A 13,050-nucleotide genomic window follows, 5' to 3' on the forward strand; every position below is an offset into this window, starting at 1 on the left:
TCCCTGATCTCCTCAAATTTGGTCACGATCTAAACTTTATTTTGCTGTACAACTTCTCTTTTTTTGAAGTTTTACTTGCTTCCAACTCAAGGAAGTCATTTTTTTCCTGCTTCCATGACAATAGAAGGCAGGTAACTATTTTATATAACATATATTTTGTATCTTTACATAACAAGGCCACCTTTTTGCTAGCCAGGCCAAACTGAAACAGTGGTTGTTGCCTCATGCTGCCGTTCCATAGCTAAGGTTTTGCCTTCTTTTTTCCACCACAACAGCCTGGGTTTTGTTCCTAAATCAAGCCCTTTCTGGTTTGATACTTGGTACTTCTGAAATAGCAGCAATTTTTTCTAGCTGAAATATGCTAATGAGATTTTAAAAGATTTTTTTAAAAGAAGCTCAATGGTTAAAATTAGCTTAATTAAAAGCTAACATCCAAGATGTGTGTGTGTGTATGTGTGCATGTGTGTGTTTGTATTTAAAAGGCCTTCATGTTATCTTTTTTCCTCCTAGAATCTTGTCCCTTTTTTTGAGCAAAAGTTTTTTTCTTCTCAGTTGACTGAATTCTGTTTTCTTCATTTACTTCTGCTGTCTCTCCTTTCTCTTGTACCCTCTGCTGCATGAGGAGCCTAAAATAGTTTATAATAGCCTGGGGTTCCTTAAAGAAAACAGAGAAGGTACCAGAGTCCCTTTGCGGGAGAACGCTGTTTTTCCTTATGGGAACTCCAAGAGTGTAAACAGACAAGTTCAGCTCAGCTTTTAAACTGCTTTCCTCGGTATTGTGTTACCTGATTTATTAACTGATATAGTTACTGCAACAGAGGTTACTCTTGGGTTTTTTAAGACAGGTGTAGTTTAGGCACTTATAAATGTCTTTGTTTAAAAAAAATTTTTTTTTACATGCACTGTAAAAATATGATGTGGTCTAGCCTCATAATAATTCTCCCTCTTTGGAAACCTAGGATTCGGCATGGGCTTTGCCCAGAGCTCAGCGATCCAGTTAAAAGATAGGTAGTCCCTGTCTAAATGAAACTGGTCTCCTTATACAAAACTATGAAAGATTTTTATAATTTTATGTTTGATTTGGCATCCATCTTTAATCTCCCTCTAGCACACCAGACTTTTTCTCTCCACACGTTATGATATACATTTTGCTATTTGATTTTCACCTGAGTTGTTTCCTTTAATATGCAAATTTAAGTCTATTTAGCTGAAAACTGCCTAGCGTTGTGAAACAGGTTATCAAGAATCTGAATGTCTAAGATAGGGAAAAAAAAAAAGGTTTTCATTAATCTATAAGATGTACTTCTATTGGCATGCCTAATATATCTATGTATTTGCATGTTTTGTACACACTGTTTCATTACTGAAAAGATATAAAAGAACTCTAATTAATTGGCTTAAAGAAAAATAAAAACACTTTAATCAAATACTTTACCAGGAAAAAAGAAAAGACCAGTCAAGTGCTTTTTCAAGTTTATGTAACTTCAGTAAAATCTTTAATAAATAAACTAGCTTTTCAGTTATTGGTAAAGTAATATTAGAAATGTCTTAAGAATTGTCAGCATACATTTTTGTCTGCATTTATTAATCAAGCAATTTCATACTTATCCCTGCCAAATATGATAAGATGTCAAAATTTGACATAGGGGTTACAAAACTATAAACCCAGCCCAAGACAAAATGATCTTTGCTTGTATAATCTTTAATAGGTAAGACATTGATATTGATTTAATAAAAAATAGCTACATCTTAAATTTAGTAAGATTACCATAACTTCTAATCTTGTGGCTTTAGGCAGTCTGGTCCACAGGCAGTGAGGTTTGTTTTGGGAAAGGACCATTATCATCTTTGTTTCAAAGCTAAACTCTAAACTAATTTCCTCCCAAAGCTAGTTCAGCGTATGCCCAGGAATGAACAAGGACAGCTTGGAGGTTAAAAGCAAGATGGAATCAGTTGGGTCAAATCTTTTTCACTGTCTCAGTTATAATTTTGCAATGGCAGTTCCATAACTTTAAATGATGACTATCACAGTTTTCATAAATAATCCAGGTAAACAATTAAAATAATTAGGTAAATGTAATGGGATACATACTTGTAGATGAACTCATTATAATTTAGAATCTAAAGTTAAATTATAGATATTTCATTATTTGGGTATTTTGCATTAAAAATATATTTGTAGGAAAACATTCTTAAAAGAAAAGGGTGTCCTTTTAAAAAAGGTGAATAATTTTTGTCTAATTCAAAGATCATGTATTAAACGAGGTAAAAGGAACCAGGAAATAAGAGAGATGTAAAGAAAGTTACAAAAATAAAGAGGTTTATTTGTTTTTTGTAAGAAAGCTTAAAGAGAAATAATTTCAATGAGAAAGAAAGAATCTTGTATGGTAAATTTAGTCCTAGAGTAGAATGACTGGTTGTTTAAGAGAAAGGGATGTTCAGGACAAACCAGAAAGTCCAATCATGTCATGAATGGTCTGTGTAAGTCACAATAAGAGGATTTCTTTAAAAAAACTTATATAATCAAGTTGCCATATTATTATTAAGTTTTGGTTTGCTTAGGAAAAAAAGCTGAGATTATTTTTTTTTAAATTAAGGTTATTACATCTGTGTATCCTTCTGTATGCACTTTTAAAGTACTTGTGAGATTGAGTTACAGAGCTTTGACTATTGGGTCTAAAAAGGACACCAAGTCCGGCTGAATTTTAAACACTGACAGCAATTAAGGCCCCATCTTCAGGCCTGGTAGAAGATGTCAATCAAAATAAACTGCATTCCCGAGACACAGGGCCAGAAATTAAAACTATTCCACTCCTCAAGGCCCAGGGACTATCATGGAACAGATGGGCCTGTGAGATTGTAAGAGCCAATTTTGAGGGATAAAAAAAGTTCAGTTTCTCTTTAATCATCAATGTCAAAAGCACACTGATATAAGACTAGCATATAGGCGCTTGTGTCAGTTTAACAAGGTTTTCATGAAGCATTAACCAACTCCTTAATAAAGGTGATAAAGGTTATAAAAAGCTTATGGAAGTTATATCTTATCTTATATCAAGATTAAAATTTTATAGATTGTTTATAAAATTTTGAAAAACAAATTTAATTGGCTTCATGCTGTATTTATTAGGGCTTATAATTTGGGAAATTAAGTCTCCTCTCTCAAAGAATGAAGGTTTTTGCTCTTTTTTTGAAATCCTTGAGTTATCACTTTGGTTAAATGAAATGACTTATTTTACAATAACCTGTGATCCTATTTCATGATATCAAGTGTTTTAAACCTTTGATAATGGTCAAACTTTCCAAATCAAATTATAAATTATGTCTTTTCCTGATCTAATTAATCCTTTAAGATATTAGGTTCCTTAAAGTACAAAAATGACATATTTGGCTTATTTGGTATAAAAATTATACAGGAAGCACTGTCAAATATAAAATGATGTTTGGTTTTCTTTGGCCTGTATTTGTATAAATATGTTATTAGTATGTGTTCTAAAATTATGGGAAACTCCTATAATTTTGATATGAGTTAATGTACATTATCAGTAATAATTATAATTATGTTAAATTATTGTGTACCACAGAGGTAACAAATTTTCTTGTCAATTGTGTCTTTGACTATGGCTGCCCTAAAACTTTTTGTCGTCCCCAGACAATTGTTATCTTGTTTTGGTGCACTTTAGAAGGTGGATTTATAATCAGTTATAAAACTCTTAACAGGTGTTCTCAAATGCAGGTTTCTGATAACTTCAGAGACTATGACATCAGAATAGAGGAAAAGCTTTCAGGACTCATGGAGAGCTGAAATATTCAAGAATATCAAGCAGAACAGGAATTAACTGCATAGACTAAACTAATAGAAGTCTGAAGCAATGTTTTTAACTTTTTGCTTAAAACGTTGCTGATCCTTTGTTTTGTTTTTCAGACTCAAGAAAACTTTTAAGCTATTTACAGCTTTTAACAATTGAGTAAAGTGTACTCCTAAGAACAAAATTTGGAGTGTATTTGTTTTCTCTCTACCTGATTTCTCCAGAATTTAGAAACTATTTGTGAGTATTCTTAACTTATAGCAATACAGTTATTTGTATAAGTGCAATAAGAATCTGTTTTCATTCATGACAGAACACAATTGGAGAAAATGGTTATTTTATCAAGGCTTTGACTGGAATGGTGTGCTTTCCTTAAGGAATCAAATCTGACTTATGGATCCAATAAAAGCCCTTTGGGAAAACTGGCCTCATACTTGTCCATACAGTCCCTGTACAGGGTTCCTGACCTGTGGTAAGTAAAGAATGTCACTTTCTGACAGGCCTAGGAGCCCCAACTTTTATCTTGGAACTTCAAGAGGAGAGAGGATCACCCAACTCATAGGTATTTGATGGTACAAATCAATGGCTGGGCTCAACTTTAAAAAAGTCTTATCTGAGATTCTTTCTATAGAACAAAATTCCATCAAAGCCAATTTAAAAGCCTATGTAAAAATAATTACTTTTTTTTTACTGCACTGTATACAAATGATTAGGCCAAGTATAATAAAGCAAACCAGTCCTACCACAATTTGTCTTTAGTAAAAATGGGAAACTGGAGAGAGAAAAATTATGTTTCAAAACCTATAGTATACTTGTTGTTAGATTCTTGTCTTGACTAATGTTTTTCAATTTTTATTATTTTCTACAGTTTGGACTGAATTCTAATTTTTCTTGGTTACAAATCTTCAAAATAATGTTTTCAATTTTTTTTCCTTCTTTCTTCCCCCATTTTCCCCAATTTGGAGTCACTGAAAACTAAGCTGTGCTTTTGTAAAGCCCTGCAAACTGAAGCTAGAAAACTTAAACTTCAGAAGAAAATAACAACAACCTATTTACATACATAAGCCACTTTCATACCTGCCTAGTGATGTATGGACTTCAGAGTAATGTGGCCTATAGCAGTTTTCCAGGATTGTTCTTCTGTTTGCTGTTGTTTTTCTCCCTTCCTCCTCCTATTTTTTCTTCATAGGACATGAGACTTCACAAACTGCTAAAACCATTTTAGCCATGAAAGATCAGAAACAACCTGAGACCAGACTCATTATTTTCTAAAATGCTTTCTCTGAAAAATTTTATCTTTAAAATTTTATTTATTATTATTATTTGGTGTGTTTCAGAAAGATGAAACATCTTTAAAAGAAAAGGGAGAAGAAATGTGAATGAAAAATAAAAACTCAGGAACACAATTCACCATGCCACAAGGAAAAAATAAAGCTAAAATCTGAGTCATGCAAGAAACCACTTTTCCTTTTGTTCCTAAGCAGACAGCTACAGATAAAAGGTTAAATATCTCCATGGGTAGGTACTCTATGTTCGTTTTATCTTATTTAAAGTGCTGATTTACTGAGGGCCAGATGAATACAGAATTGACTATTCCCCTACCTGCTCGTTTTCTCCTGCAACACGTGGATTACCACTTCGTTCCTCCTTTCCTTCTGACCTGCTTTTCCCCTTTAAATACTGAAGCCCTCAAAATCATCTTTGGAGGAAGGCAAAGACCATTTCAGTGACTCTGTCTTACTTCTCTTCTGGGCATGTGCTTAACCATGGCAAAACAATTTTCTAAATTGATTGAAACCTGTCTCAGATACTTTTTGGTTTATCATCCCCACATCTTGGTACCAATTTTCTGTCTTAGGTTGTTTGGGTTGCTATAACAAATTATCATAAACTGAGTACCTTATATAAACAACAGAAATCTATGTGCACAGTTCTGGAAGCTGAGAAGTCCAAGATCAAGGTGCCGGTAGATTTGGTGTCTGGTAAGTGCCCATTTCCTGGTTCATAGATGGTGCCTTCTAGCTGTGTCCTCACATGGTAGAAGGAATGAACTAGCTTTCTGGGCCCTCTTTTACAAGGGCACTAATCCCATTCATGACAGCTGCATCCTCATGACCTAATTATCTCCAAAAGGCTCCATTTCTTAATACTATCACATTAGTGATCAGATTTCAATATGTGAACTTTGGGGGAACACAAATATTTAGACCATAACAACTGCTAAGTAAAAACAATAGAGAATAGATAAAACTGCCACTATTCACACGAAATGTAATTGTCCACTAGACCCTCAACTGACAAACTACTATGATGAATAAGGAAGTACGGCAAGGGGGTCAGATACAAGATTGATACATAGAAATCAATAGTTTTCCTACTGATTGACAATAACCAATTAGAAAATACAATAGAAAAAAAGATTCTCGCCGGCTGTAGTGGCTCACGCCTGGAATCCCAGGACTTTGGGAGGCCGAGGCGGGCAGATCATGAGGTCAGGAAAGGTCAGGAGACTGAGACCATCCTGGCCAACGTGGTGAAACCCCATCTCTACTAAAAAAAAAAAAATACAAAAATTAGCTGGGCATGGTGGCTCATGCCTGTAATCCCAGCTACTCGGGAAGCTGAGGCAAGAGAATCGCTTGAACCTGGGAGGCGGAGGTTACAGTGGGCCGAGATCGCGCCACTCCACTCCAGCCTGGCGACAGAGCGAGACTTCGTCTCAAAAAGAGAAAGAAAAAAAGACCCCAATGGTTGGCTACATCAATGAAAGACTATAAAACACCTAGCATAGACTAATAAGAACTTTATGAGGCTCATATATATAGTATATACTATATATATATATATGAAGATCAGAAACAAAATGGAGAGGTACACTAGGTTCCTGAAAAACAAGACTTAATATTAAAAGATTTAATATTAAAAAGGTATCAATTATTCACAAATTAATCTACATAGTCAATGTAGTTTTGGTGGGAGTTTTCAATGGAATTTTGATTCTAAAATACTTTTGGAAGAACAAGTGCCCAAGAATAACTGGGAATAATATTTTGAAAAAGAATAAGGAGGGGAGAAATTCATTTATCATATATTAAATATGTAAAACCATAGAAATTAAGATAGTGTGATATTGGTATAGGAAAATACCAATAGTTCAGTGGAACAGAATATTCACATGTGTGTATGTACACACATGAAATATATACACAATATATATTTGATAATTTAGTATAGGATAAAGACACCATTTCAAAGCAGAGTGGAAAGGTTGGACTGGTTAAGGAGTAGTATAGAGACAAAATTTGGGGGAAAAGGATGGTTATTTTCTTAAGCCATTCACAAAAATAAAGTCCATATTGATTTAGGTGCTAAAGATAAATAGTAAAATTCTAGAAGTTTTAGAAGAAAATGTAGGAAAATATACATATATTATTGAATTAGGGAAATACTTTTTAAACCACAAAATGTGAGAATCACAAGGAAAAGATTTACTTACATCAAATTTAAAATTATATTTAACAAAAATGACCACAAGCAAATGTAAAAGACAAACTGGGAGGAGCAATCTGCAACATATACAACATTCAAAGAAGTATTACAGATATGTAAAAAGCTGCCAAAAAATAAACATCAAGAAAGAAAAGACAACTCAATGGAAAAATGGGAAAAAGATATGAACACTGTTTGCTGAATTCAAAGAAGATAATCGAGTGACCAAAAAAACATATTATTGGTATCAAGTTGCTCAACCTCGGCAATAATCTTAATAATTAAGAAATAAAATAATAATCATTTCCACCTAACAGACTGTCAAAAATTTAAAAGAATGACAATATCAAATATAGGAAAGAGTAGGAAAAGGGTGGTCTCAACAACCCTTTTGATGGACGCATACTTTGGGTCAGCTCTTTAGGAAGGTGATGATTAAAATGTGTAACTTTTCACTCAACAATACCACTTTCTTGGCATTTGTCTTACAGCAATACTCGGTGTGTACACAAAGAGGAGGCGGCTTACTGTAACACTGTGGAAATAAATATCTAGGAACAATTTTATGCATCAGTTGGGGAATCTTTAAATAAATAATTGTACATCTGTACTATGTGCTATTATGCAACAATTACAAAGAATTTTTACCTGTATTTACTGGTAAAAATTTTCAAGGCCTATTAAGCGAAAAAGCAAGTGGAACAACAGATTCGGTGTGATACCATTCATGTAAATAACAACAGCAAACAAAAGGGGCCACACTACTACACTTTTATATGGATACAAAAGCTTAGGAAAAGATTTGGAAAGATACAAACCAACATGATAATAGTGGTGACATCTGAAATTGAGGGTAATAGTCAAAAGAAACTATTGTTTGATTTGTATCTTTTGACCTTAAAAAATAAGACTGTTGATGTTTTAGTTACACCACTGTACCATTAAAAGCTTAGCAATAAAATGGGACTGTGGAGTATGATTCCATTTCTATTCTACACTTATTTCACTCTCCTTTGAGCCCACTCCAATATGGCTTTTATCCCCAGAGTTACACTGAAGCTGGTCCTATCCACATCACCAATGACTTCCACATGCTAGATCTAGTAGTCAGTTCTCAGTCCTCATCTTCCTAACCTCTGAGTATCATTTGAGCCTGTTGATCATTCCTGCCTCCTTGAAACTTTATTGGTATCTAGGACACTTCCTGGTTTTTCTTCTACATCACTGGATGCTTTTCCTTAGTTTCTTCCTCATGTCCCCAACTTAACAATGGAGTTCTGCAGGGCTCAATCTCTGGGCTCTTGCCCTCATATTTTCTCAGCAGCCAGCAGTCATTAAAAATACCAGTTGGATTATATCACTTCTCTGCACAAATTCTCCAGCAACTTCCCACCTCACTCCCAGTGAGAAAGATCTGGTCCTCAGATCTCTGTGATCTCATCCCCTAAGATTCTCCTCCCTGCTTACTCCACTGCAGCCACACTGGCCTCTTGTTCTAGAAGGAGGCACTTGCTGTTCCCTTGCCTGGAACACCTTTCCTGTGAGATTGTCCTGGCTCATTCTCTCACCTCCTGTAGGTCTTTTCTCAAATACCTCAGATTCTCAGGAAAGATTTCTCTGGGCACCCTGTGTAAACTTGCACCCTACCTCCAACCCCCGACACTTTCCAACCCCTTCCCTGCTTTACTTTTCTTCTTAGCACTTACATCATCTAATGTTTTATATATTAACTGATTTATTCTCTATATTGTTGCCATCACCTTCACTTCCCACACTTTAATATCACTGAGACAGGGGATTTGCTTGTTTTTTTCACTGCTGATACCCTATTATAGGCTAGACCTATGATAGGTGTTTGGCAAATGTTAGGTGCTTGGCAAATGGTAGGTGCTCAGTAAGCAGTCGATGAATAAATGACATAAAATAAAATGTGAATATAAAAGCTGAAGGGAAATATACTGGAAAAGTTAAAGTTTTAATTATTACATTATCCACTTCTTAGTGGTTTGACATTTAAAAAGTGTGCATATGTTACTTGTATAATAAAAAAATAAAGATATGTATCAAAAATATAATGGCAGATTATTTCTTGATGTGAACATAATTGCTACCATTTATTGAATACTGAAAATATTTAATCTTATTTTGATCTTCATAAGAATCCTGTGACAATATGACTATTTCCAAGAGATGAAGAAAGTAAGACTCAAAGAGGGTAAGCAACTTGCCCAACATCACAAGGTTAGTATGTGTTGGGGCTGGGATTCAAATCTAGCTGTACTGGCCTTCTACACCTGTGATATTTCCAACATGCAATCCCTCCTCCCAGGAAAAGCTAAGAAATCAAACTACTCACTCGATTGCACTTTATCAGACAAATCTTGGAGCCAACTTTCTTCTGTTTGTACTGATACTGGAATTCCTGGAGACAAATTGCGATGAATATTTCTGAAATTTCGACAAAAATGTTTTGAGTATACCTATATAGTTGTTAGCAGGTCTTCTAAACATCGAACATTTAATAATCAATTAATTAATGCACGTAGAAAATATTTTGTTTTCTTTGAAATATTTTCTTCCATTTTTATCTTTTCAGTAAAGTTAACTCAGTGTGTTTGCATCAAATCTTTTTTTGGGGGGATAAGCTGGGAGGATACCTTGAGCCCAGGAGTTCAAGACCAGCCTAGGCAGCATGGTGAGACCCTATCTCTATAAAACATAAAAAAATTAGCCAGATGTTCTGTTCCATGCCTGTAGCCCCAGCTACTTGGGAGGCTGAAGCAGGAGGATGGCTTGAGCCCAGGAAGTGGAGGCTGCAGTGAGCCGTGATTGTGCCACTGCACTCCAGCTTGGGAGACAGAGCAAGGCTCTATCTCAAAAACAAACAAACAAACAAATAAACCATGACCATACACTGAAGTGTCCTTGCCCTAACTCTAGTAATAGTAGGATTTCCCAGCTTCACTCCTCCCTGCCTAGACACTCCACAGGAAATGACTCTAACATGCCCCACCCATCTGCACAGGGATCATAGCAGACTCTCCTATGCAAGCTCTGTCAGAAAACAGAACTACTAAAGCTAGGGAAGGATTCCTTTCTAGCTATTTATCAGCCATTCATTTATAAATAAAAATGGGCAACGAAGGATTACCACTTAAGAAAAATCAATAGCATTGAAGAGAAAAAGCAAGAGAAATAAACAGAACAATTGACTTTGAAAGGAAAAATAATACGAAGAACAAAGGAGAACTTTAATATATTAGAACAAAGCCCTCAAAGAGATAAAAACAAAAAAAAAAAACACAAAAAACAAACCAAATAATTTTGAACAGCAACAATCAGAGAACAAGCACTGGTTCTTCGAAATTTCAAATATGAATCCTCCAATAAAAAAATTCTGTACAAGGGCTGTATAGTAGCATGTAAACAAACATCAAAAATCCTGAAGATACTGAAAATACAAAGGAAATGTTATTAAAGATGGAGAATCTACCTAAGAGGTCCAACAGCATCTAGGAGGAGTTCTGAAGAAAAGAAGAAAAGGGGAGGAAGTAATTATATATCAGAATGGTCTGAGGATAAGACTGGTGAGGCAGTATTGGCTACTAGGAGGCAAAGAAGCAATGTCTTCAGATCTCTGAGGGAAATTTTTTTTTTTGAGATGGAGTCCCGCTCTGTTGCCCAGGCTGGAGTGCAGTGGTGCGATCTTGGCTCACTGCAAGCACTTCCTCCAAGGTTCACACCATTCTCCTGCCTCAGCCTCCAGAGTAGCTGGGACTATAGGCGTCCGCCACCATGCCCGGCTAATTTTTTTTTTTTTTTTTTTTTTTTTGTATTTTTAGTAGAGACGAGGTTTCACCATGTGAAATGGTTTTAAATCTCTTCTTTTTGGCAGGTTTTTATTTATTTTTTTATTAACAAGTCAAGTACAAGGGCAAAATGAAGAAATTTCAAAGCAGGCAAGAACTCAGAAATTTGACTATCCGTGAGACCTATATAAAAAATTCACCTGAGGAGTTTCTCCAGCAAAAGGAAAAGCAACAAAAGAAAGAAGACAATATGGGAACCAATAAAGTGTGGCTGGTGAGCCAACCCAGAAAAACTGTAGACAGAACAACAGAGAGTCAAAAAGTTTATTTTATTATTATTATTTTTTATTTATTTTTTGAGATGAAGTCTCACTCTATTGCCCAAGCTGGAGTGCAGTGGTATGATCTCGGCTCACTGCAACCTCCACCTCCTGGGTTCAAGCGATTCTCCTGCCTCAGCCTCCCAAGTAGCTGGGAATACAGGCACACGCCACCATGCCCGGCTAATTTTTGTATTTTTAGTAGAGACAGGGCTTCACTATGTTGGCCAGGCTGGTCTTGAACTCCTGACCTCGTGATCTGCCCACCTCAGCCTCCCAAAGTGCTGGGATTACAGGTGTGAGCCACTGCATCTGGCAAAAACTTTACTTTTTAAGAGACAAGTTTTATAGACATAGGATTATATTTTCTTGTCCATAGATTCAATCATATTACTGGTTTGTCAACATAGAAGTGTTAGTATTGTTTGTTGGTTTTCAATTTTTAGAAACAACCCCAGAGCACTTTAATTATAATTAACAAACCATAATACAAGCATAATAAAGCTTGGAAAAGTAATATAACTTTATGTAAATATACACTGCATTTTAATATAATTTATCATTTCATATAGTTTGTTGTTAATTGGGAAAAAAGAGGAGAGAAGAAAGATGGAAGGAGGAAGTGCATTAACATGTTAATTTTTCATTATAGTCAATAGATACTAAAATTGATGAATCAAGAAGTAGAGGTTTAAATACCTCGAAGTCCTAAATGTTAGAAAAACTAAAAATAATATAACTACCAAAGTGGAGAGGTGGGAATTCAATACACATGTCAGAAATTGATAAACCAAGAAATGAAAATGTCATTTTAAATAATGGAAACAAAACTGAAGGTGAGTGGGAGTGGGGGTGAAGAAGGGCATGAGATTTTCATTTTTATACCTTTGTGTAGTTTGATTTTTTTAACCACATGTATACATTATCTTTATTACAAATTGAATTAAAAGGATAACTAAAAACATGTAAGTGAGACAGAACAATTCTCCTTAGACTTAAGAATTCAAAAGTTGCTTACAAAAGCAAAGTTAGGGTAACTAATAATTCAAGATCATTGACTCAGGTTTGGTGTGAGATTTCAGGGAATATTTACAAAGATGTTCCAGAAGGCATTTCACTGGTATCTTCTTACTATAGTTAAAGTGCCTGAAGGCTAATAGCAATAACAAGAAAAAGAAGAGAGAGAGAGGAAAAAGGAAAAGCTATTATTTCCACTCTCTTCCACAAAAGGCGTCCCTGGTCACTCTTGCATTTAGCCAATAAAAGCTATATTCAAAATTCTCAAGCACTTACAATTGCACACATGGCATATATAGTTATTCTTTCATGTTACATTGATAAGTGGACATGTAATCTCTAGAGCTAGGTAATAAGCTGGGGATAAGTGGGAACCTTTATCTCTTTCAAAGTGTCTACCAGTGTATATTTAAAAAAAACTTTTTAAAATAAGTAAGTCACAAATGCCCTGGATTATTTTACTCTACTTCCTAACATGTTTATCCAAAAGGTAAACATTATTGGGTTCAAAAAATGTGAAATTTGAAAACATTTTCTTACCTATCTATACTCATTTCAGACATGTCTTTCCTAAATGTCTGAAATATTTTAGGGAAACCTGTTGAATGA

General features: G+C 34.9%; 1 protein-coding gene across 3 annotated transcripts in view; it reads right to left on the bottom strand.

Annotated features, from left to right (window-relative positions):
• The window catches only part of ERICH6 (glutamate rich 6), a 44,036-nt gene that overhangs the window by 29,255 nt on the left and 1,731 nt on the right, over positions 1-13,050 (bottom strand). For all 3 annotated transcript variants that reach the window (NM_001308234.2, XM_005247120.4, NM_152394.5), the window contains exons 2-3: positions 12,982-13,039; positions 9,652-9,743 (exon numbers count right to left, since the gene is read on the bottom strand). In NM_001308234.2, coding sequence (NP_001295163.1) covers positions 9,652-9,743; positions 12,982-13,004 — 115 coding nt within the window. In that variant the 5' untranslated portion in view covers positions 13,005-13,039. The remainder of the gene's footprint in view (positions 1-9,651; positions 9,744-12,981; positions 13,040-13,050) is intronic.

This window comes from Homo sapiens, chromosome 3 (genome assembly GCF_000001405.40).
Source record: "Homo sapiens chromosome 3, GRCh38.p14 Primary Assembly".
Taxonomy (NCBI): Eukaryota; Metazoa; Chordata; class Mammalia; order Primates; family Hominidae; genus Homo; species Homo sapiens.